The following is a 24735-nucleotide window of genomic DNA, read 5'->3' as shown; positions in this document are numbered from 1 at the left end:
AGTTTGATGCAATCCCATTTGGCTATTTTTGCTTTTCTTGCCAGTACTTTTGAGGTTATATCCAAAAAGTCATTGCCCAGGTGAATGACTTTTCCTTTATATTTCATGGGGATATTCCCTTATGTATTCGTCTATTAGTTTTATAGTTTTGAGGCTTCCCTCTATGTCTTTAATTCATTTTGAGTTGATGTTTGTATGTAAGGTGAGATAAGGGTCTAACTTCATTCCTTTGCATATAGATATCCAGTTTTCCCAACACAATATGTTGAAGAGATTGTCCTTTCCTTATTATGTGTTCTTGGTATCTTTGTCAAAAGTAAAAAACAGTTGGCTGTGAATGTGTGGATTTATTTCTGGGATTTTTATTCTGTTACAGTGGTCTATGTGTGTGTTTTTATGACAGAATCACCCTGTTTTAGTTCCTATAGCTTTGTGGTATATTTTGAAGTCAGGTAGTGTAAGACCTCCAGCTTTATTCTTTTTGCTTAAGATTGCTTTGGCTACTCTGGGTCTTTTATGGTTTCATATGAATTTCAGGATTGTTTTCTATTTCTATGAAGAATGCCATTTGTGATTTTAGAGAGGTTGCATTGAACCACTTTGCGTAGTATGGACATTTTAACACTATATTCATTATTCTGATCTATAAACACAAGATATTTTTCCATTTACTTGTATCTTCTTCAATTTCTTTCCTCAGGGTTGTATAGTTTTCAGTGTAGTGATCTTTCACCATCTAGGTTTAATTCATTCCTAAGAATTTTATTTTATTGAAGCTTATTGTAAATGAAACTGCTTTCTTAATTTCCTTTTCAGATATTTTGCCATTAGTGTATCGAGATGCTACTACTTTTTACATGTTGATTTTGTATCTTACAACTTTACTGAATTTGTTTATTAGTTATAACACTTTTTAATGGAACCTTTAAGATTTTCTATATGTAAGGTCAAGTCACTCTAAACAGGTACAATTTAACTTCTTTCTTTCCAACTTGGATGCCTTCATTTCTTTCTCTTGCCTAATTACTCTGGATAGAATGTGCAGTACTATACTCAATAGAAGTGGTGGGAATAGGCATACTTGTTCTTGTCCCAGATCTTAGAGAAAAGGCTTTCAACATTTTCTCATTAAGCATGACATTAGCTGTGGGTTTGCCATATATGGTCTTTATTATATTGAGTACATTCTGTCCACACCTAGTTTGCTGAGAATTTTTACTCTGAAAGGATATTAAATTTTGTGAAATGCTTTTTTTGTGTCTGCTGAAATTATTATATGATTTTTGTCCTTCATTCTATTGATATGATGTATCACATTTATTGACTTACATATGATGAAACATCCTTGCATCCCTGGAATAACCCAATTGATTATGACGAGTGAGCTTTTTGGTGGATAGTAGTCAGGGATGCTGTTCCTCATTCTATAATGTCAGAACAGAACCCCCCTGACATAAAGAATTATCCAGCTCAAATTTTCTACGTTGCTAAGGTAGATAATACCTAATATGGATGGTTCTCCCAACCTCTTGACTATCAATATATTGACTTCCTCTTCTTCAGTGCTTCTGTCCAATGCCTCTTAGCAATCCATTCCCATTAGCCTTCTCATTACCAATAACCCAAACCCCTCCATCCATTTACCTAAAGCACCCCATCTCCAACATTACTTCCTACATTTCAGGTAACTTGTCACAAGATGCCAACATCACTTCATTCATTAGGGACCAATGCTCCATTGACTTGCCCATTTTTCATTGATCTTAACTTTCACCTCAAGGTCACCTTCTATGATCTCTGTTTAAAACAAAATTTTTATGCACACATATGAAGCAATTTTTCATATTCTACTTTTTGTTAGTCTCTTAGAAAAATAAATGCTTGCTGGACTATGAATCTGCCTGCTCTGTCCTTCACTCATGCAGCTGGACATAGCTGAGGAGCAACAGACCCTCGGCCACCGCCTGTTCTCACTCTGCTTTCATGGAGACTCGCTGTCAAGAAGGCCGAGGGCGTCCTGAACACAAGACCACTTTCTCCATTCAATCCCCCTCCGATGAATGCTTGCTGCATGCCAGCTTTTCTATCCTTAAACTTCCAAGCCTGTCATCCCCATTTTCACTTGATTTATATTTCCCAAATACAAGTAGCATCACAGAGTGAATATTTTCATGATGTCTCAAAAGAAAATGAGATATAGTTACTATTGTTGCTCATTGGACTTATTCTATTCCCAGTAACAAACCTGAAACTAGCAGAAACTCACAACGCTAGGTTCATTTTCAAACATTATCCATGGAGTTTACATTCCAGTGGATCGAAAGCAGTGAAAAGCAAGCAAATAAAAGAAGCATCTGCAGCCGGGCGCGGTGGCTCACGTCTGTAATCCCAGCACTTTGGGAGGCTGAGGCGGGTGGATCACAAGGTCAGGAGTTCGAGACCAGCCTGGCCAACATGGTGAAACCCTGTCTCTACTAAAATACAAAAAAAAGTTAGCCGGGCGTGGTGGTGCGCGCCTGTAATCCCAGCTACTCAGGAGGCTGAGGCAGGAGAATCACTTGAACCCAGGAGGTGGAGGTTGCAGTGAGCTGAGATTGCACCACTGCACTCCAGCCTGGTGACAGAGCAAGACTCCGAAAAAAAAAAGAGAAAGAAAGAAAGAGAGAGAGAGAAAGAAAGAAAGAAAGGAAGGAAGGAAGGAATGAAGAAAGGAAGGAAAGAAAGAAAGAAGGAAATAGATGTAATATTGTATGTTTGAATTAATTAGCTGAAATGAGAATTCGGCTGCTTTCTATTAAGGAAATAGAAATATAGGGGGGGCTTTCTTGGGTGGTTAACTTTTATCAGAACCTTAACTGGAGTCAGAGAAAGGCAACATTAAGACCTAGGGTGATGGAAAGAGCTGCACATGAAAAGGTCCTGAGGCTGATTAATTCCAGGGTATAAGATATAACCATGTGGCTGGAGCTAAACATTTTGCCTCTATTTCTCCCTTAGAATCTCCTTTGGTCTGAATGCTCTCTCTTCCCTCTCTGCTTTCTCTTCATCCTTCCATATCGCAAACTACCTATTTTCTCTCTTTCTCTTTCATTTTCCCCCTTTCTCCTTCATTTTCCCCTTTCCTCTTTCTTCTTACTCATCCTTCAATACAGTTTGATTTTTTTTTTTTAAGATGGAGTCTCACCCTATCACCCAGGCTGGAGTGCAGTCGTGTCATCTTGGCTTACCGTGACCTCCGCCCCCTGGATTCAAGAGATCCTCCTGCCTCAGCCTCCTGAGTAGCTTGGACTACAAGCCTGTGCCACTATGCCTGGTGTATTTTATTTTATTTTTGTATTTTTAGTAGAGATGGGGTTTCACTGTGTTGGCCAGGTTGGTCTTGAACTCCTGACCTCTCAAAGTGCTGGGATTACAGGCATGAGCCACCACGCCGGACTATAGTTTGATTTTTTTTTTCAGGTTCTCCAGAAAGCCTACTTATTAACCAGTCAACATATTTCATGTACGGGTATTGCTCTAGATTATTAGAGAAACAAGAATACAAACATTGGAATGGTTACGTAGGACCTTCAGTGAACCCACAGACTGTGAAGAATTTGAATGCTGGTATCATATATGCACTACTCTTCCCTCTGTCCCTAGCACTGTGCCTAACACATGGCATGTGCTGGTGACTGTTGAATAATGAAATAAACACATAACCAGTCTTTATGTGGAGCTGTAGGCAGAAGACCCAATTGGGGCCCTGTCTTCTTATTTGTAAAATAATAAATTTTCAATTTATCCCACAAATATACTTTGAGGTCACCTTTGAATAAGTTGGTTAGCATCAACTACTTCCCTTATCAATGAGTCCATAGTCTCATTGTCCTTCAGCCCCAAGGATAGCTTTTAGTCATTGATGGTACTGTTCTGATTCTTTCTTTTCTTTTTTCTTTTTCTTTTTTTTTTTTTTTTTTTTTTTGAGATGGAGTCTCACTCTGTCATCAAGGCTGGAGTGCAGTGGCACGATCTTGGCTCACTGCAACCTCCGCCTCCCGGGTTCAAGTGATTCTCCTGCCTCAGCCTCCCGAGTAGCTGGGATTGCAGGTGTGTGCCACCATGCCCGGTATTTGTTATTTTTAGTAGAGACGGGGTTTCACCATGTTGGCCAGGCTAGTCTCCATCTCTTGACCTCGTGATCCGCTTGCCTCGGCCTCTCAAAGTGCCGATATTATAGCCGTGAGCCACCGCGCCTGGCCTCTGTCCTGATTCTTAAATCAAGGGCTAAGCCAGGAAACTATTTACCTGCTTTTTAAGTTCAAAGTGCTATTGATACAGGTTTTAGAGACACGACCCGAACACTAAGAGTTCATGGCCCAGTGAAGGAAATGGGTAAACAGTTATATCACCAAGAGAGACAAGGAACAGGAGAAGTGGCACACCTATCATACCAGAATTGGGGAGAGAAGAGCTTTAACCATTGTGGATACAGTCGTTGGAGAAACTTTCACAAAGAAAATGCCTCTCTATTCTTTCTAACTATCATTTGCTCACATCATTAAATTACTACTGTATTTCTTATTTATGGTAGAAATGCAAAATGTACAACTATTATTTATTGAATTTGTACAATGTATTGGGCATTGTGCCAAATCCTTATACACCCCCAATCCTCATTTACAGGCAAAGGCAGCGAGGCTCAAAAGAGGCAGGTGTCTGGCCCATGATCACCCAGTAATGAATGTTAGCCTGGGATTTATAAACTTGAGAATATACATTCTACCTTCTCTTCTGGGAATTCTAAACTTATATGAGAGATCTCTGAAAGCCTGGGTAATAGGAGTCAGAGCATACTTCCTGGAGAAATCTCCCCACTGGGTTTATAATGGTAGGCGGCTTGGCAAATCAATAAGCCTGACACATATAAATCACACTCCCATGAGAATTTAGAGCCAGAAAACAGCTCTATACTTTCAGAGCCAGAAAACAGCTCTATACTTTCTTTCACTTACTCTGAAAGTATAGGGCATCGTGGATCAGACACATTAAGCATGTGTCTTCTTCAACCCCACAAAATTATACCTAGAAATTTAGCCTAAAATAGTATTTCTCAAACTTTTAAAAGTCAGAAGGCCCGTATACTTGTCAAGATAATTGAGAATCTCTAAAGAATTTTTCTTTGCATGGTTTATATCTAGGAGTATTTACCATATTATAAATTGAAGCTGAGAAATTTTTAAATTTAAAACATAAAAAAGTAACAACCCTATCACATATTAACAGAACCCACATTTTATCAACAATAATTACTTTTTCCAAACAAAAAATTAGTTATAAAGGGAGCACTGTTTCACTTTTTTATAAATCCCTTTAATACTCTTCTTTTTTTTTTTTTTTTTTTTTTTTTGAGACAGAGTCTCACTCTGTTACCCAGGCTGGAGGGCAGTGGCGTGATCTTGGCTCACTGCAACCTCCGCCTCCCAGGTTCAAGCAATTTTCCTGCCTCAGCCTCCCAAGTAGCTGGGATTACAGGTGTGCGTGACCACATCCAGCTAATTTTTGTAATTTTAGTAGAGACGGAGTTTCACCATGTTGGCCAGGATGGTCTTGATCTCTTGACCTTGTGATCCACCCGCCTTGGCCTTCCAAAGTGCTGGGATTACAGGCATGAGCCACTCCTCCCAGCCAATACTCTTCTTAATAACCAGGTGCTATGGTTCATGCCTGTCATCAAAGCATGCTGGGAGGCCAAGGCAGAAGGACTGCTTGAGGCCAGGAGTTCAAGACCAGCGTGGTCATCATAGTGAGACTCCCCCTCTACAAAAAAAAAAAATTTTTTTTTAATTAGTCCAGTTGAATGGCATGTGCCTGTAGTCCTAGCTACTCTGGAAGCTATGGTGGGAGAATTCCTTGAGCCAAGGAGTTTGAAGTTTCAGTGAGCTATGATTGCACCACTGTACTCTAGCCTGGGCGACAAAGGCAAGACTTTGTCTCTACAAAAAGAAATCTTTTCTTAATACAAAGCAGCCGAATTCTCATTTCAGCTAATTAATTCAAACATACAATATTACATCGTGAAGAGAAAATGGGAAGGAAAAAGGCAAATAAAACAGTGTTCTTAAGAACATATAGAACTTGTGAACTCTTTCAAATGGTCTTGATTTTCACAAGGTCCTTGAACTACCTTTTGGGACAACATTGATGTAAGATATATTCAAATAGTGGATATGAAATTATAAGATCATCTGAACATACAAATGAGAGGTTATCCATGAAAGAAACTACAGGACATTCACATCACTTTCCTTTTTTTCTTTCTTTCTCTTTTTTTTTTTTTTTTTTGAGATGGAGTTTCACTTTGAATTACCCAGGCTGGAGTGCAATGGCACTATCTTGGCTCACTGCAACCTCCACCTCTCGGGTTCAAGTGATTCTCCTGCCTCAGCCTCCAAGTAGCTGGGATTACAGGTGTGCATCACCATGCCCAGCTAATTTTTGTATTTTTTGTATTTTTGTATTTTGTATAATTTTGTACTTTTAGTAGAGACGGGGTTTCACCATGTTGGCCAGGCTGGTCTCGAACTCTTGACTTCAAGTGATCCACCTGCCTCAGCCTCCCAAAGTGCTGGGATTACAGGCCTGAGCCACTGCACCGGCCCCACATCACTTTCCTTCTTCTCTGCAGCTGCATTTGGCTGGGGAGGAACAGCCCCTCCCCCACTGCCTGTTTCCACTCTGTTTCCATGGTGACTCTCTCCAACAAGGACACTGAGCATTGCCTGCCAATCAGGCCAGCTCCTCCACTCTCTCCCCTGCAGTGAACACCGACTGCATTCCTGCTGTTCTATCCTCACCGCTGTGACGATCTCTGCAGAGAGATCCTAGGTACCTTAACATTGAAGGCATCGGATACAGCTGTATTCGAAATCTGACACCACAGAACCTGCCAGCTCCAGGGGTTCACAGTTTCAACATTTCCTTTGCTGACATCACATCTCTGTGATGCGGGGGTGTCAGTGGCTGCTGTGAAGAGAAGCAATCACCACCCAAAAATTAACATAGATAAGGAAATGAGAGTGGTGCAGTCCAGGCTGATGCCAAGGGATAAGAGGTTTGCAGTCCCCAACAGGCACGTGCGTCCCATGATGAAGGACTTGCCATGATTGAAGAATAAAGAATGATTTTTACCATGCATTCTCCATTATAAGTGGGAGTTAAACATTGGGTACACAGGCACACGGATATGAGAACAGTAGACACTGTCAACACCGGAAGGGAAGGTACCGCCTGTCATTGGGTACACAGGCACAAGGATATGAGAACAGTAGACACTGTCAACAGCAGAAGGGAAGGTACCGCCTGTCTCACGCCACGTTCACTACGCGGGCCACGGGGCCATTAGAAGCCAAACTCCACATCAGGCAAGATGTCCTTGTAACAAGCCTGTATCTACATTTTAAAAAAGTTTTAATAAAAATTAATTAATTTTAATAAATAAATAACTTTCCAAGCTGGGCCATGATTCAACATGGCTTTTCTAAATAAAATAGTTTTTGTTTGAAAAGAAAAATTATTTTTAAGAGAAAGAAGAAACCACCACACATTTATTAACATTGCTATGATCCATAAAACAGAAAATAACAAGTGGTTTTTTGTTTGTTTGTTTGGAGACGGAGTCTCACTCTGTTGCCCAGGCTGGAGTGCAGTGGCATGATCTCGGCTCACTGCAACCTCCACCTCCAGGGTTCAAGAGATTTCTGGCTAATTTTTGTATTTTTAGTAGAGACATGTTTTCACCATGTTGGCCAGGCTGCTCTCGAACTCCTGACCTCAGGTTATCTGCCCACCTCAGCCTCCCAAAGTTCTGGGATTACAGGCATGAGCCACCACGCCCAGCCTGAAAATAACAAGTGCTGGCAGGCTTTGGAAAAGTAGGAAACTTCTGCCTTGTTGATGGAAATGTGACACGATGCATTATTCATAATAGTCAAAGGTGGAAAACCGCAAGTGTCCATCAAAGGATGAGTGGATATTGGTAAACAAGCTGTAGTGTTCACATACAATGGAATATTACTGAGTCTTACAAAGAAAGGAAACCCAGACAGATGCTACAACACGGAGGAACCCTGAGGACATGATGCCGAGTGGAATAAGTCAGCCCCAGAGGGACACTGTTGCATGATTCCACTTAGGTCAGGCCCCAGACTAGCCTAATTCATAGACCCAGAAAGTAGAATGGTGGCTCATGGGGGCTTAGAGAGGAGAAATGCAGAGCTCATGTACAATCAGCTCAGAATTCCAGTTTTGCAAGATGAAGACTGTTCTGGGCGTGGAAGGTAGTGATGTTTGCAAATAACCCGAATGTAATGGAAGCCAACAAACTGCACACTTAAAAGATGATGAAAATATCAACGTTAAACTATGTAATAATTTACACCATTTTTAAAGAAAAGATCTTGCTCTGTCACCCAGGTTGGAGTGCAGCAGCACGATCACAGCTCACAGCAGACCTCAGGCCATCCTCCCACCTCAGCCTCCTGAGTAGCTGGGATTACAGGCCTGCACCACCATGCCCAGCTAATTTATTTTTATTTTTTGTAGCGACAGGGTTTTGCCTTGTTGCCCAGGTTGGTCTCGAATTCCTGGGCTCACACGATGCTCCTACCTCAGCCTCCCAAAGTGCTGGGATTACAAGCGTGAGCCACTGTGCCTGGCCTACATCATTTTTTACAATTAAAAAAATTTTTAGGTCGGGCGTGGTGGCTCAGGCCTGTAATCCCAGCACTTTGGGAGGCGGAGGCGGGCAGATCACGAGGTCAGGAGATCGAGACCATCCTGACTAACACGGTGAAACCCCGTCTCTACTAAAAACACAAAAAATTAGCCGGGCATGATGGTGGGCGCCTGTAGTCCCAGCTACTGTGGTACTGTGGAGGCTGAGGCAGGAGAATGGGGTGAACTCGGGAGGCGGAGCTTGTAGTGAGCCGAGATCCTGCCACTGCACTCCAGCCTGAGCGACAGAGCGAGACTCCGTCTCAAAAAAAAAAAAAAAAAAAAAAAATTAGAGGATGGGCGCGGTGGATCACGTCTGTAATTTCAGCACCTCGGGAGGCTGAGGCAGGTGATCACCTGAGGTCAACAGTTTGAGACCAGCCTGGTCAACATGGTAAAACCCCGTCTCTACTAAAAATACAAAAATTAGCCGGGTGTGATAGTGCAGGCCTGTAATCTCAGCTACTCAGGAGGCTGAGGCAGGAGAATCACTTGAACCCGGGAGGTGGAGCTTGCAGTGAGCCGAGATCACGCCACTGCACTCCAGCCTGGGCAACAAAGCGAGACTTGGTCTCAAAAAAAAAAATTAAACTTGCCAGCCTTTGTTTTTCAATTAATATTAGTAAAAAATGGATTATACGGTAAAGTTTATGTTCTGTGTATTTTGCCACAATTAAAAATGAAAAGATAAAAAGTGTTAAACGTCTGTATACTTTCTATTGCTTCAAGAGTGCCACCTAGTGATGGCAAAGGCACTTTACAGTAGCATTACCATTGCCTCATGTGAGAAGAAACAGGAAAAAAATGAGATCCTGAAAATGGCTGTGTCACTATTTATTTGCTCTCTTGTTCCTTGAACTAATTTGTTTCTCAAATTTCATGAGTGAACCCAAGGCCACGGTGGTGGGCTAAGGGGCTTTGCAGAGATCAATGAGGGAGTGGCGCTGGTGGGATTATTTATCCTCGAACTAAGCACAACTTGGAAAGAGTGCAGGCTAGATTTCACCTCCCCTCAGCTTCTTGGACAGAAGCCTCAATGCTGAGGAACATACGCATGGCCATCCCCACAGCCCTGGTTGTGAGTGAGACCTACAAGTGCCTGCATTTTATGGCGGAAAATACTGGGCTCAGAGAGGGAAGTCTCCAAGCTCTCTGGCCCTGAGCCCACGCCTCCATCACCTGCTCCCATCCCACGTCTGAGCATCCAAAGAAAAGTGCCCTGGCCCCTCCCAGAAGAGGGAGTCCAGGGCCCCTGTCTTGCTCCATCTTTGGGACTGGACATTTAGGGTTGGGCAAGATTCTAATAATATAGATAAGAGGCAGGGAAAGTGGTCTGCATCTCCAATTTGCTTGAGAATGCCGTGTCTCCCAAACTCCCCTTCAACTACACACACGTGCGTGCTCGCACACACACACACACGATGGGGAAATGCATCAGGGTACTCGAGGGACTCCCACAAAATGAGGCTCATAATTGCATGAATCAAGACCAGAAATTACCAAGTTTCACACACAACGGTAAAACAGACTGAGGGACAAGTTGTTACTGCAAATATAGCTGTTTGCTCACATTCCCAAGAGGAGGGGCACACCACACCAGGTAGTCACACAGGAAGGACAAGTATCTGGCAAGAGGAAGGGGATGGAAGGACTTGTGAGTGAAGAGCCTTAATTATGGTTTCCAAGGGAAAGAACAAGTGGGGGTAAATGAGCAGGTAAACAAGATTGGCTTCTCTGAAGAATTTCAGTGGCTCTGGGCATAGGGGTTGTCCCCGAGCTGTCTGATGCCTGGTCCTGGGGTGATTAGGAGAGCTGAGTGATTCGTGGCTGTCAGTGTGAATGCTCCATAGAGGAGATGATTGGGGAGTGGGATCTGGATTGGTTTCCACATGAAAGGCTGCCTTTCAAGGGAGCTGTTTACTATCTTCAGGAATTGACAAGACCCAGCAGGATCATCCCTCCAGGGTCAGCAAGATCCAAGATGTGGCCCATCAGAATTACAGAAAATAACATGCAAGGTTGGGACACATAGCCTCATGAAAAGCCCCGATTTCTGTGTGATCTCAATTCTCTGTGGATGTGGACTGTTGTCCTCACCAACATCACTTTCCTCTATAATCCTGGGGAATATCCTACACGTTAATATCTGTGGTTCTCCACCAGGGAAGATTTTGCCATGAGGAGACATCTGCCAATTTTTGGAAACATGTTTGGCTGTCACAACTGGAGGAGGGCTGTAGGCATCAGCTGTGTAGCAGACAGCATCCTATTGATCAATATCTTACAAAAACAGGACAGGCTTCCCCACCCTGCAAAAAAAGAACTTTCAAGCCCAAATTTTCAATAGTGCTGATGTGGAGGAACACTAACATAGCTGACCCTCCCAACACTTCACTATCTGAAAATTGATCTCCTCTCTCCCAAATTTCCTATCTAAACTCCTTTAGCCATCGATTGCCATCAGCCTTGTTGTTACCAATAGAGGCTGTCAGCCCATCTCCTCAGCTCAAGCCTCCCATCTGCAACATCACTGCCTATCTTCCAGGTGACTTCTGCTCACCTGATGCCAATTTTCCTTTTCTTTAGGAAAAACATAGTATTGATTCACCCATTTCCCGCTAATCTTCATCCCACCTTCAGATCACTGTCTATGGTCAATTGTTAGAACCAGTTTCTTCTGCACAAACTCAAATCTCCTTTTCATACTCTGCTTCATGTGATTCTCTTGGAAACCCTCAACCCTGATGAGCCATGACTCCCTCCATGTCATTCCTCATCCTCACTCCTGCAGGTACACGTGGCTGGGGAGGAACAGCCCCTGCCCCACTGCCTATTCTCACTCTAACCTCGTGGTGACTCATCCCTAAGGACACTGAGCACTGCCTGGAAATAGGACCAGCTTCTCCATTCACTTTGTGTCCAGTACTACTGCATGACTGCTTTTCTATACTCAAACCTCCAACTCTTTTGTGTGCATTGTTACTTTATTCCTATTTCCTTGGTATAAGCAGCATTGAGAAATGAATATTTTTCATGATAATGAGCAGGAAATCAGGTATGGATCTATTTTTGTCCTTCGGAGCTTTTCATTCACAGTAGCAATCTTCTGGCACAATCAGTAATGCAAACCAGGGGTTCATTATTTCTACCATCCTCAAAGGAGCTTATATTCCACTAGAGGGAGAATATAAGGCATCAGCTGGGTAGCAGACAGCATCCTATTGATCAATATCTTACAAAACAGGAAGTAAACCAAAAAAGTCAGCCTCTCTGACTGGCGTGAGATGGTATCTCATTGTGGTTTTGATTTGCATTTCTCTGATGATCAGTGATATTGAGCTTTTTTTCATATGTTTGTTGGCCGCGTACATGTCTTCTTTTGAGAAGTGTCTGTTCATATCCTTTGCCCAATTTTTGATGGGGTTGTTTGTTTTTTTTCTTGTAAATTTGCTTAAGTTCCTTGTAAATTCTAGATATCAGACCTTTGTCAGATGGGTAGATTGCAAAAAATTTCCTCCCATTCTGTGGGTCGCCTGTTCACTCTGATGATAGTTTCTTTGGCTTGCAAAAATTTCCTCCCATTCTGTGGGTCGCCTGTTCACTCTGACGATGGTTTCTTTGGCTTGCAAAAATTTCCTCCCATTCTGTGGGTCGCCTGTTCACTCTGACGATGGTTTCTTTGGCTTGCAAAAATTTCCTCCCATTCTGTGGGTCGCCTGTTCACTCTGACGATGGTTTCTTTTGCTTGCAAAAATTTCCTCCCATTCTGTGGGTCGCCTGTTCACTCTGACGATAGTTTCTTTGGCTTGCAAAAATTTCCTCCCATTCTGTGGGTCGCCTGTTCACTCTGACGATAGTTTCTTTGGCTTGCAAAAATTTCCTCCCATTCTGTGGGTCGCCTGTTCACTCTGATGATAGTTTCTTTGGCTTGCAAAAATTTCCTCCCATTCTGTGGGTCGCCTGTTCACTCTGACGATAGTTTCTTTTGCTTGCAAAAATTTTCTCCCATTCTGTGGGTCGCCTGTTCACTCTGACGATAGTTTCTTTTGCTTGCAAAAATTTCCTCCCATTCTGTGGGTCGCCTGTTCACTCTGACGATAGTTTCTTTTGCTTGCAAAAATTTCCTCCCATTCTGTGGGTCGCCTGTTCACTCTGACGGTAGTTTCTTTTGCTTGCAAAAATTTTCTCCCATTCTGTGGGTCGCCTGTTCACTCTGACGATGGTTTCTTTTGCTTGCAAAAATTTCCTCCCATTCTGTGGGTCGCCTGTTCACTCTGACGATGGTTTCTTTTGCTTGCAAAAATTTCCTCCCATTCTGTGGGTCGCCTGTTCACTCTGACGATGGTTTCTTTTGCTTGCAAAAATTTCCTCCCATTCTGTGGGTCGCCTGTTCACTCTGACGATGGTTTCTTTTGCTTGCAAAAATTTCCTCCCATTCTGTGGGTCGCCTGTTCACTCTGATGATAGTTTCTTTGGCTTGCAAAAATTTCCTCCCATTCTGTGGGTCGCCTGTTCACTCTGACGATAGTTTCTTTTGCTGTGCAGAAGCTCTTTAGTTTAATTAGATCCCATTTGTCAATTTTGGCCTTTGTTGCCATTGCTTTTGGCATTTTTGTCATGAAGTCTTTGTCCATGCCTATGTCCTGAATGGTATTGCCTAGGTTTTCTTCTACGGTTTTTATGGTTTTCAGTTTCACAATTAAGTCTTTAATCCACCTTGAATTAATTTTTGTACAAAGTGTAAGGAAGGGATCCAGTTTCAGTTTTCTGCATATGGCTAGCCAGTTTTCCAAGTACCATTTACTGAATAGGAGGTCCTTTCCCCATTGCTTGTTTTTGGTAGGTTTGTCGAAGATCAGATGGTTGTAGATGTGTAGTGTTATTTGTGAGGTCTCTGTTCTGCTCCATTGGTCTATATATCTGTCTTGGTACCAGTACCATGCTGCTTTGGTTACTGTAGCCTTGTAGTATAGTTTGAAGTCGGGTGGCGTGATGCCTCCAGCTTTATTCTTTTTGCTTAGGATTGTCTTGGCTATACGAAGTCTTCTTTGATTCTGTATGAATGGCAATTATTAAAAAGTCAGGAAACAATAGATGCTGGTGAGGCTGTGGAGAAATGGGAATGCTTTTACACTGTTGGTGGGAATGTAAATTAGTTCAACCATTGTGGAAGATGGTATGGTGATTCGGTATGGTGATTCCTCAAGGATCTAGAACCAGAAATACCATTTGACCCAGCAATCCCATTACTGGGTATGTACCCAAAGGAATATAAATCATTCTGCTATAAAGACACATGCACACGTATGTTTATCACAGCACTATTTACAATAGCAAAGGCATGGAACCAACCCAAATGCCCATCAATGATAGACTAGATAAAGAAAATGTGGTACATATACATCATGGACTACTGTGCAGCCAAAAAAAGGAATGAAATCATGTCCTTTGCAGGGACATGGATGAAGCTGGAAGCCATCATCCTCAGCAAACTAACACAGGAACAGAAAACCAAACACCACATATTCTCACTCATAAGTGGGAGTTCAGCAATGAGCACACATGGACACAGAGAGGGGAACAACACACACCAGAGCCTGTTGGTGGGTAGGCGGTGAGGGGAGGGAGTTTAGAGGACAGGTCAATAGGTGCAGCAAACCACCATGGCACATGGATACCTATGTAACAAACTGGCACATTCTGCACATGTATCCTGTTTTTTTATACATATGGAAGAAATAAAAAAAATCAACCCCATGGTGGTTGGAAGGTAGAGGTGCATGACAAGCTTCTGGGGACAGGAATCAAAGAAGGCATCCCTGAGAGGTGACCTCTGGTCAGAGTCCTGAATGGAGACAGGAAGGCACCACATGAAGACCCAGTGATGGCAGGAGCAACACGTGCAAAGGGCCTGGGGCGGCTCATTTAAGGGAAACACAGAGGCCTCATGCCAAATAATTTGCCTCTCTCTGTCTCCTAGAATCACATTCTTCTGCCTGAGTTTGACTTTATTATGCTTATTATCCCAAATTATGAGTTTCCCTATGTTCTTTTCCTTCTATATTTTTTCTTTTTTCCTTTTCTTCTATATCCATTCCTTTTTTTTTTTTCTTTCTTTGAGACGGAATCTCTCTCTGTTACCCAGGCTGGAGTGCAGTGGCATGACCTCGGCTCACTGCAGCCTCCTTCTCTCGAGTTCCAGTGATTCTCCTGCCTCAGCCTCCCAAGTCGCTGGGATTACAGGTGTGAGCCACCGCACCTGGCCTATTGAGAGAAATTTTACAGACACCGACTCTGTGTTTGTTCTCATCCTCTTTTGCTCATAATTATTAAAACTCTTATTCCTATTTAGTGTAAAAATTCAGAAAAACCTAGTTATAACGTATTAAATGCCTATAATGTGTTGGCCATTTTGTTGAGTTTTTACCCAGCCCATCCTCCACTTACAGGTAAAGGAAATGAGGTTCAGAAGGGGCACATGTCTGGCCCACGATCACCCACGACACCCCATGTCGGGACTGGGGTTTATAAACTGAAGACTATACCTTGAACATTATCTTCTGAGATATCTAATCATACCCCACATGAGGGGAGATCTCTGAACATCCATGTAACTGGAGGCCACGTGCGCTTCCCATAGAAATTCCTTCACTGGGCCAGGCACGAGGCTCATGCCTGTAATCCCAGCACCTTGGGAAGCTGAGGCGCGCAGATCACGAAGTCAGGAGGTTGAGACCACCCTGGCTAACACGGTGAAACCCCGTCTCTACTAAAAATACAAAAATTAGCCAGACGTGGTGGTAGGCGCCTGTAGTCCCAGCTACTCGGGAGGCTGAGGCAGGAGAATGGCATGAACCCGGGAGGCGGAGCTTGCAGTGAGCCGAGATCATGCCACTGCACTCCAGCCTGGGCGACAGAGCGAGATTCTGAAAAAGACGAAAAAAAAAAAGAAAAAGAAACAAAGAAGGAAAGAAAGAAGGAAGGAAGGAAGGAAGGAAAAAGAGAAAGAAAGAAAAAAGAAAGAAAAAGAAAGAAAGGCAGAAAGGCAGAAAGAAAGAAGGAAAGAAAGAAAGAAAGAAAGAAAGAAAGAAAGAAAGAAAGAAAGAAGGAAAGAAAGAAGGAAAGAAAGAAAGAAAGAAAGAAAGAAAGAAAGAAAGAAAGAAAGAAAGAGAAAGAGAAAGAAATTCCTTCACTGAATTTATGAGAGGAGGCAGACTGGAAAATTGGTAAGAGTCCGACAGACCTGGGTTACATTTCCCGTGAGAAAATAGAGCCAGAGAAACAGCTGTGGAACATCATAGCAATGTGGCATCATGTCTCAGAAACATTAAGTGTGTGTGTCTTTCAATCCAGCAAAACGGAACCAAGGAATTTAACCCAGGACAGTAATTCTCAAAGTTTGTCATCTCAAACTATTTTACCCTCTTAAAATTATTGGGAAACTCCCAAAGGATGTTTCTTGGTATAAGATATAAATAAAACATAACATGATCTCATATAGATCATGTTATAAATAGTCAAACGTTACTTTTTAAGCTTAACGACAACAACAAATCTATTGTATATTAACATAGCTCACATTTTGTGAACAATAATTATATTTTCCAAACAAAAACTTAGTAATAAAGGTGATATTGTTAGAAGTTTTTGCAAACTCCTTTAATTTCCTCCTTAATGGAAGAGAAATGGATTCTCCAATCTGCTTCTTACTTCAAATATTATAATATCACATCATGCAGAGAAAAAGAGAAGAAAATAAGCAAATAAAATATTAATGTTCTTTAAAAAAATAGTCTAGAAATTGTGGACCCCCTGGAAATGTCTTGATTTTTCCCACAGATCCTGAACTGCATTAGGGGATTGCTGGCCAAATATACATACAGGCAATGGACATACAATTACAAATGAAGACCATCAGAATAAACAAATGAGAACTTATTAAGAAACTTGGGGCTGGATGCGGTGGCTCATGCCTGTTATCCCAGCACTTTGGGAGGCCAAGGCAGGCGGATCATTTGAGGTCAGGAGTTTGAGACCAGCCTGGCCAATATGGCAAAACCCCGTCTCTACTAAAAATACAAAAATTAGCCGGGCATGGTGGCGGGTGCCTGTAGTCCCAGCTACTCAGGAGACTGAGGCAGAAGAATCACTTGAGCCTGGAGGCGGAGGTCGCAGTGAGCTAAGATTGTGCCACTGCACTGGTCAACAGAGCAAGACTCTGTCTCAAAAAAAAAATAGAAAGAAAGAAAATAAAAGAAAAGGGAAAGGAAGAAGGAAGGGAAGGGAAGGGGAGGGGAGGGGAGGGGAGGGAAGGGAAGGGAAGGGAAGGCAGGGGAGGAGAGGGGAGGAGAGGGGAGAGGAAGGGAAGGGAAGGGAAGGCAGGGGAGGAGAGGGGAGGAGAGGGGAGAGGAGGGGAAGGGAAGGGAAGGCAGGGGAGGAGAGGGGAGGAGAGGGGAGAGGAAAGAAAAGGGGAGACTGTGGAACATCCACATCACTTTTCTTATTCTCTGCAGCTGCATTTGGCTGGAGCAGAGTAGCCCCTTCTGCACTGTCTGCTCTTACTCTAATTCCATTATGATTCATCTCCAGAGATTCTGAGCTGCTTAGCAACCAGATCAGCTCTTCCATTACCTGCCCCCTCCAACTAATTCCTACGGCATTCCTGCTGTTCTATCCTCACAGCTTCAGCTGTCCACAGAGGGACCCTGGATATGTTAAAATTAGGGGAAGCACAGCAGCATTCCACCTCTGACACCATGTGAAACACCAGCTCCAGTGGCTCACAGATTTCACATTCGGTCTCTCTACATTTCCTTTGCTGACATCATGTCTTTGTGATGCTGGGGCATCCGTGGTTGCTGTGAAGAAGGGCAATTACCACATGAAAATCAGCAAGGTTTCGAAAGTCAGGTGGCATGGTCCCGTCTGATCCCAAGGTTTGAGAAATTGTGCAGTGCCCAACAGACACGCACATACCACTAATAAATAATTACTATTGAAAAATGAAATAAATATGATTTTTTCCACTGAAAAGAAAAAAAAGAACCAGCACACATTATTAACATGGCTACTCTCCATAAAATGGAAAATAAAGGATGGTGGTAGGCTTTGGGGAAACTGGAACCCTTCTGCACTTAGTGGTTAAATGAAGTTGATAGGAGACTGTTGTTGTGGACGGAGCTCCTTCTCTAGCCCTTCACAAACCAAATAAAAATGGAGTCTTTCAGGTTAAGTGCATGTCGTCAAACTGAAACTTGGAAAAACAGGAAAATCCCTAAACAGGCCGGTTTTTTCAAAACACAAGAGATCCACAGCATCTGATCTCAAAGGACCCAAGTAACGTGAGCTGCCAAGAGAAGGAAGTCCCTCTGCTTTAACCCTTAAAAGGAAAGTAACCTAAAATAACCAGACGTTAAAAGAGCCGCCTTTTTGTATGGTGCTGTTTCTTTGTTCCTGCTCAAGAAGCCCTACAAAAGCCAACTGTTGGCCGGGTGCGGTGGCTCACGCCTGTAATCCCAGCACTTTGGGAGGCCGAGGCAGGTGGATTGCCTGAGCTCAGGAGTTTGAGACAAGCCTGGGCAACATGGTGAAACCCCGTCTCAACTAAAATACAAAAAATTAGGTGGGCGTGGTGGTGGGCGCCTGTAATCCCAGCTACTCAGGAGGCTGAGGCAGGAGAATTGCTAGAACCCGGGAGGCAGAGGTTGCAGTGAGCTGAGATCACAGCACTGCGCTCCATCTTGGGTGACCGAGTGAGAATCCGTTTCAAAAGAAAAACAAAAGACAAAAAAGTGCGCCAACTGTTCTGCCATAAGGGCAAAAATGCCTTTGTATTTCTAGATGGGATGCAGCCCGATCCATAAATCGCTAACAAATGCCAATTCAATCATTGTGAGGCCAGGGACCTCCGTTTTTAAAATATATTTTAATCACCCACTTCCTTTCCCTCCCATCTGACCCCTTTATCTCTTCCTCTGAAGTCAGGATAATGCCAGCCAGGTCTCAGGGTGGGTGATACCCATGATAGCCACCAGAACAAAGGCACAGACCTGCACCCTGCACACTCCGCATGTCTCCCACAGCAAATTTCCTTTTGAAACCCCCATGGTGAATTCTAAAATTGAAGATGGTGCTTTAGAACGCTAGTTCACCACCTTCTCGGTTTTCTGGCTCTCTGATTGAACCTGTCTTTCCTTCTGCCAACCCTTGTCTCCCGTGCCTGGCTTTCGAGCATCGAGCAGCTGATCCTGAATCTGATCACAGTGGAAATAAACTGGTGGAAATTTTGGTTTTCGACAGTGGGATGGACACATGGTGCAGCTGCCTTGTAAAACAGTGCAATAGTTTCTGGACAAATAAAAGTAGAGTTACCATATTGTTGCCAGAAAACAGTTATCAATTCAGACCCGAAGAGAGGGTCCTTGGATCTCTTGCAGGAGGGGCTCCCAGGTGAGCTGCAGAGTGCAGTAAGAAGAGATCATTTACTGAAAGTGACTCAGATACAGAGTAGGGTGTCCTCAGAAAGCCAAGAGAGGAATGCCTCATCTTTGTTTTAAGTTTTACTTATGTGGGGGTCTTATCTATGTAATAGCTAAGCAAAGTTATGTGTATGTGCAGGTGGGCTGGCAGCATGACAAAATTTATTATTTTGTTGATTTAAAGAAAGCTATCCTTGGCATTTTGGTGCATAAATGCATCAAAGCATAACTGTAATCATCTTAAAAGCATATAATGCCATATTGGGGTATCTAGACATTTTGCTCTCATAGGAGTTTGTCCTTGCAGGCTTGATTAAGCTGTTTCCTCAGCTATACACATCTTAATGGCCATGGTGGAGGGCTGGCAAGGAATGTGCCTTGCTAGTTTTTTTGGACAGATTTTAAAACGGTGTCACCCTGGTTCTCCTATGCTCCTGTTTCCCTAACAATATGATGCATCAATACCACTTCGAGATATAGACCCAGAATAATCGAAAGCAGGAACTCGAGCAGATATGTGTCCACCCGTGTTCGTAGCAGCATTCACGACAGCAAGAAGTAGAAGCAACCCAAAGGTCCATCAAAGTATGAATGAATAAACACAATATCCTCTATCAATACCATGGGATATTATTCATCCTTACGAAGGAAGGAAATCCTGCCACATGCTACAGTCTGTATGAACCCTGAGACATTATGCTCAGTGAAACAAGCCAGGCACAAAAGAAGACGTACCCTATGACTCCAATAATTTAGTGTCTCTAATGCTGTCCAACTAATAGAGCAGAAAGTAGAAAGTGGGCTGGGCGCAGTGGCTCATGCCTGTAATCCCAGCACTTTGGGAGGCCGAAGCGGGTGGATCTCCTGAGGTCAGGAGTTTGAGACCAGCCTGGTCAACATGGTGAAATCCTGTCTCTACTAAAAAAAATACAAAAATTAGTTGAGCATGGTGGTGGGAGCCTTAATCCCAGCTACGCGGGAGGTTGAGGCAGAGAATCACTTGAACCCAGGAGGCGGAGGTTGCAGTGAGCAGAGATCGTGTCACTGCACTCCAGCCTAGGCGACAGAGCCAGACTCCATCTCAGAAAAAAAAGAAAGAAGGAAAGAAAGGAAGGAAGGAAGGAAGGAAGGAAGGAAGGAAAGAAGGAAGAAAGGGAGAGAGAGAGAAAGAAAGAAGAAAGAAAGTGGATGTTAGGGACAGGTGTGAGGGAGAAGTAGGGAGTTGTTTGTGGGTACAGAGTTTCAGTTTTTCAAGATGAAAAGAATATTGGAGATGAACAACGGAGATCATAGTAAAACAATGTGAATGCACCTAATATGGGAACTGTACAATTAAATATGGTTAAAATGTTAAATATTAAGTTATATATACGTTGCAATGTCATAGACATTGCTTCAAATGAAAAGAAAAACACAATAATGTACTTTTTAAAGGGGTATGTTGTATTGGCTGGGACATTTTTTTGTTTGTTTAAAATGAGTTTTTCCCAAATTACACTGGCTGTGCCTATGTACAGGGTGGGCTGTGGGAAGTGGGATAGATCAGTGGGATGCCTGAAAATAATCCCTCAGCTCTGCATGGACACAGCTGCGGAGAGCAGGCTGGGTTTCACATTTTTCCCCTTGCCTTGGACAGGACCCTAGTGCAGGGTACAACATAAACAGCCATCCCCAGCAGCCCTGGCTGTGAGCGAGGTCCTAGGAGTGTCTGCATTTTACAAAGGAGGATGGTGGGCTCACAGAGGGGAGGTCTCCAGGCTGTCTGGTCCCAAGCCCACACCCCCGTCACCTGCTCCCATCCTGCCTCTGAGCATCCAAGCAGCCGGGTGCTGGTACCTCCCAGAGGAGAGATTTCAGGGCTGCTGCCTTGCTGTAGCCTTGAGATTAGGTGTTTGGGTTTAGGGAGGGTCCCAATAAGGTAAATATGGGGCAAGTAAATGACCTGAGACTCAAGAGTCATCTCCCAATTCCCCTTCAATCACACACACACACACACATACACACACACGTAGTATGAGAAAATGCCTCTGGGTTTTGAAGGACTCTCACAAAATGGAATTTAGGAATTCTTGCGGGAAGCAATTCCCTGCATCACAAAGTTTCACACAAAACAATTAAAGAGAACAGGAGGGCCAGGTGCAGTGACTCACGCCTGTAATCCAAGCACTTTGGGAGGCTGAGGCGGGCACATCGCTTGAGGTCAGGAATTCAAGACTAGCCTGGCCAACATGATGAAACCCTATCTCTACTAAAAATACAAAAAAATTAGCTAGTGTGGTGGCTGGCGCCTGTAATATCAGCTCCTTGGGAGGCTGAGGAAGGAGAATTGTTCGAACTCAGGAGGCGGAGGTTGCGAGCCGAGATCGCGCCATTGCACTCCAGCCTGGGCGACAGAGCGAGACTCCCTCCATCTCAAAACAAAATAAAAAAAGAGTAGGAAATGACTGTCACTAAAACAAAAATAGCTTGTGACATTCACAAGAGGAGGGGGCACACCAGGCCAAGAGGGGCCGCAGGGGAAGCCCCAGTGTCTGTCAAGAGGCAGAAGCTCATGGGGGAGCATGTGGGCAAAGAGCCTTCCTTATGGTTTCTGAAGGAAAAAACAAGGGAGACAAAACGAGCAGGCTCAGGATTGACTACCTGGAATAATTTCAGTGGCTCTGGGCAGAGCCCATGGCTGTCCATGGTTATGGCCCTGGGTGACAGGGCAGGTCACAGTGGCCCTGAGTGTGACAGCTCCATAGAAGCTGGTTGGGGTGTGGGCTCTGGATTCATTTCCACGTGAAAGGCTCCCTCTCAAGGAAACTGACTGCTGTCTTTCGGAATAGGCAAGACCTGGCAAGATCATCCCTGTGGAGTCAGCAAGGTCCCAGATGTCATGGATCAGAATTACAGAAAATGACAGACAGGGTTGGTGCATAGATCCTCACGAAACCCTTACTCTTTGTGATCTTAGTCCTCTGTGGGTGTGAACTGTCATCCTCACCAATATTACTTCCCGCTAATTTACAGGTGAATGTTATGTGTATTGTAATCTGTGGTTCCCAACCAGGGGTATTTTGCCCATAGGAGACATTTGGCAAGTTTGGATAAACATTTGGGGTCACAACTGAAGAGAACTATTGACATCCCCTGGGTAGCAGGCAGGGATGCTGACAAACACCCTAGAAAATCAGGACGGCCTCCTCCATCCTGCATAAAAGAACATTCCAGCCCAAATTTTCTATGATGCTGAGGTGGAAGAACACTAACACAGGTGATCCTCCCACCACTTTTCACTATCTCCACATTGATTTCCTCTCTCCCAAATTTCCTGTCCAAACTTCCTTAACCTTCCACTTCCCATCAACCTTGTCATTACCAATAAACAATGATAGACTGATTAAGAAAATGTGGCACATTTATACCATGGAATACTATGCAGCCATAAAAAATGATGAGTTCATGTCCTTTGTAGGGACATGGATGAAGCTGGAAACCATCATTCTCAGCAAACTATCGCATGGACAAAAAACCAAACACCACATGTTCTCACTCATAGGTGGGAATTGAACAATGAGAACACATGGACACAGGAAGGGGAACATCACACACTAGGGACTGTTGTGGGGTGGGGGGAGGGGGGAGGGATAGCATTAGGAGATATACTTAATGCTAAATGACGAGTTAATGGGTGCAGCACACCAACATGGCACATGTATACATATGTAACAAACCTGCATGTTGTGCATATGTATCCTAAAACTTAAAGTATAATAATAATAAAAAAGAATCAAGTTGACCCATAATAAACTTAGACTTTCAAAACAAAACAAACAAACAAACAAACAAAAAGAGTATCACACCATCCCCTCCGTTCAAGCATCCCATCTGGAGCATCACGTCCTGCCTTCCGGGGGACCCCCCCTTCCCATCTGATGCCAACATCCATTCATCTCTTGGGGACCAACACGCCATTCATACAACCATCTTCCACTGATCTTGACCTTACCTCTAGGTCACCTTTCATGGTCAATCAGTAGAATCAGTACTTTATGCACACAATTGAATCTCTTTTTATATTCTGCTTCATGTGGTTCCCTTGGAAAGCTCCATCCCCGCGGAGCTCTGACACTACCTTCTCCATCCCTCAGTCCTCCAGCTGCAGGTGGCTGGGGAGGAACAGCCTTGCCCTCATCCTGCCTGCTCTCACCCTAACTTCACGGTGGCCCCTCTCCAAGGACGCTGAGCACTGCCTGGAAACAAGACCAGCCCCTCTGTTCACTCTCCCTGCCAGGAATACCCACTGATCTCCTGCTTTTCTATGCTCAGACCTCCAACTCTCCTTTGCCCGTTGGCATTTTATTCCTCGTTCCTTCACATACGCCACACCAGGAAGTGAACATTTTGAATGATGATTAACAGGAAATCAGGTATAGTTTTATTTTTGTCCTTCGGGCCTTTTCCATCTCCAGTAACAATCTCCTGGCACCAGAAGAATCTCAAAACAGGAGTTTCTTATTTCTACCATTGTTCATTGAGTTTATATTCCACTGTAAGTACAGGCAGAAACAGGGAGAAATAAAAGTCAGCCTCATGATGAGTGGAATGCAGGAGGTGCTTGAAGGGCTTTTGGGGACAGCAGTCAGGGACCGCTTCCATGAGAGGTGACCTCTGATCAGAGCCCTGTGTGAAGACAGGAGGAATCTTGTGAAGACCCGGGTGGCAGTGGGAACAGCACGTGCAAAGGTCCTGGGGGTGGCTCATTCAAGGCCCACACAGAGGCTCATGTCACCTCTATTTCTCTCCTAGAGAGAAATAATTCACCTCTATTTCTCTCCTAGAATTTCCTTCTATCTGAATATGCTCTTCTTCCTCTCTTTCACTTTCTCATCCTTTCTCTCATATTACAACCTCCCTATATTTTCTCTTTCTCTTATATTTTTCTATTTCTTCTTATCTATTCTTCAATATAGTCTTATTTCTTCAGGGTCTCCTGATAGCACAATTACTTAGCAGTCAACACATTTTACGTACAGGCATTGCTACAGACAATTGGAGAAACAAGAATATGAACAAGGCCGGGCGCGGTGGCTCACGCCTGTAATCCCAGCACTTTGGGAGGCTGAGGCAGGTGGATCACTAGAGGTCAGGTGTTCAAGACCAGCCTGGCTAACATGGTGAAACCCCGTCTCTACTAAAAATACAAAGATTAGCTGGGCATGGTGGTGCGTGCCTGTAATCTCAGCTACTCAGGAGGCTGAGGCAGGAGAATCACTTGAACCTGGGAGGTGGAGGTTGCAGTTAACCGAAATTGTGCCACTGCACTCCAGCTTGGGTGACAGAGTGAGACTCTGTCTCAAAAAACAAAAAGAATATGAACATGTAATAGTCAGGTTAGTACTTTCAGAATACCAACAGACTGTGAGAAATTTTGAATGCAGGAATCACATATGCATTATTTCTGTTTTTTTTCCTCTGCCTCCACCCCGCCCCCACACTTTCCCTAACACAGCATTTGCTA

The 24735-nt window shown here is 43.7% G+C and overlaps 1 long non-coding RNA gene across 1 annotated transcript in view; it reads left to right on the top strand.

Moving 5' to 3' along the window:
* Nucleotides 1–24735, top strand: part of LOC105372472 (uncharacterized) — a 69204-nt gene that overhangs the window by 360 nt on the left and 44109 nt on the right. The gene's annotated exons all lie outside the window — the stretch shown is intronic.

The sequence above is a fragment of the Homo sapiens genome, chromosome 19, assembly GCF_000001405.40.
Source record: "Homo sapiens chromosome 19, GRCh38.p14 Primary Assembly".
Lineage (NCBI taxonomy): Eukaryota > Metazoa > Chordata > Mammalia > Primates > Hominidae > Homo > Homo sapiens.
This window is presented reverse-complemented; position numbering and strand designations above follow the sequence as displayed.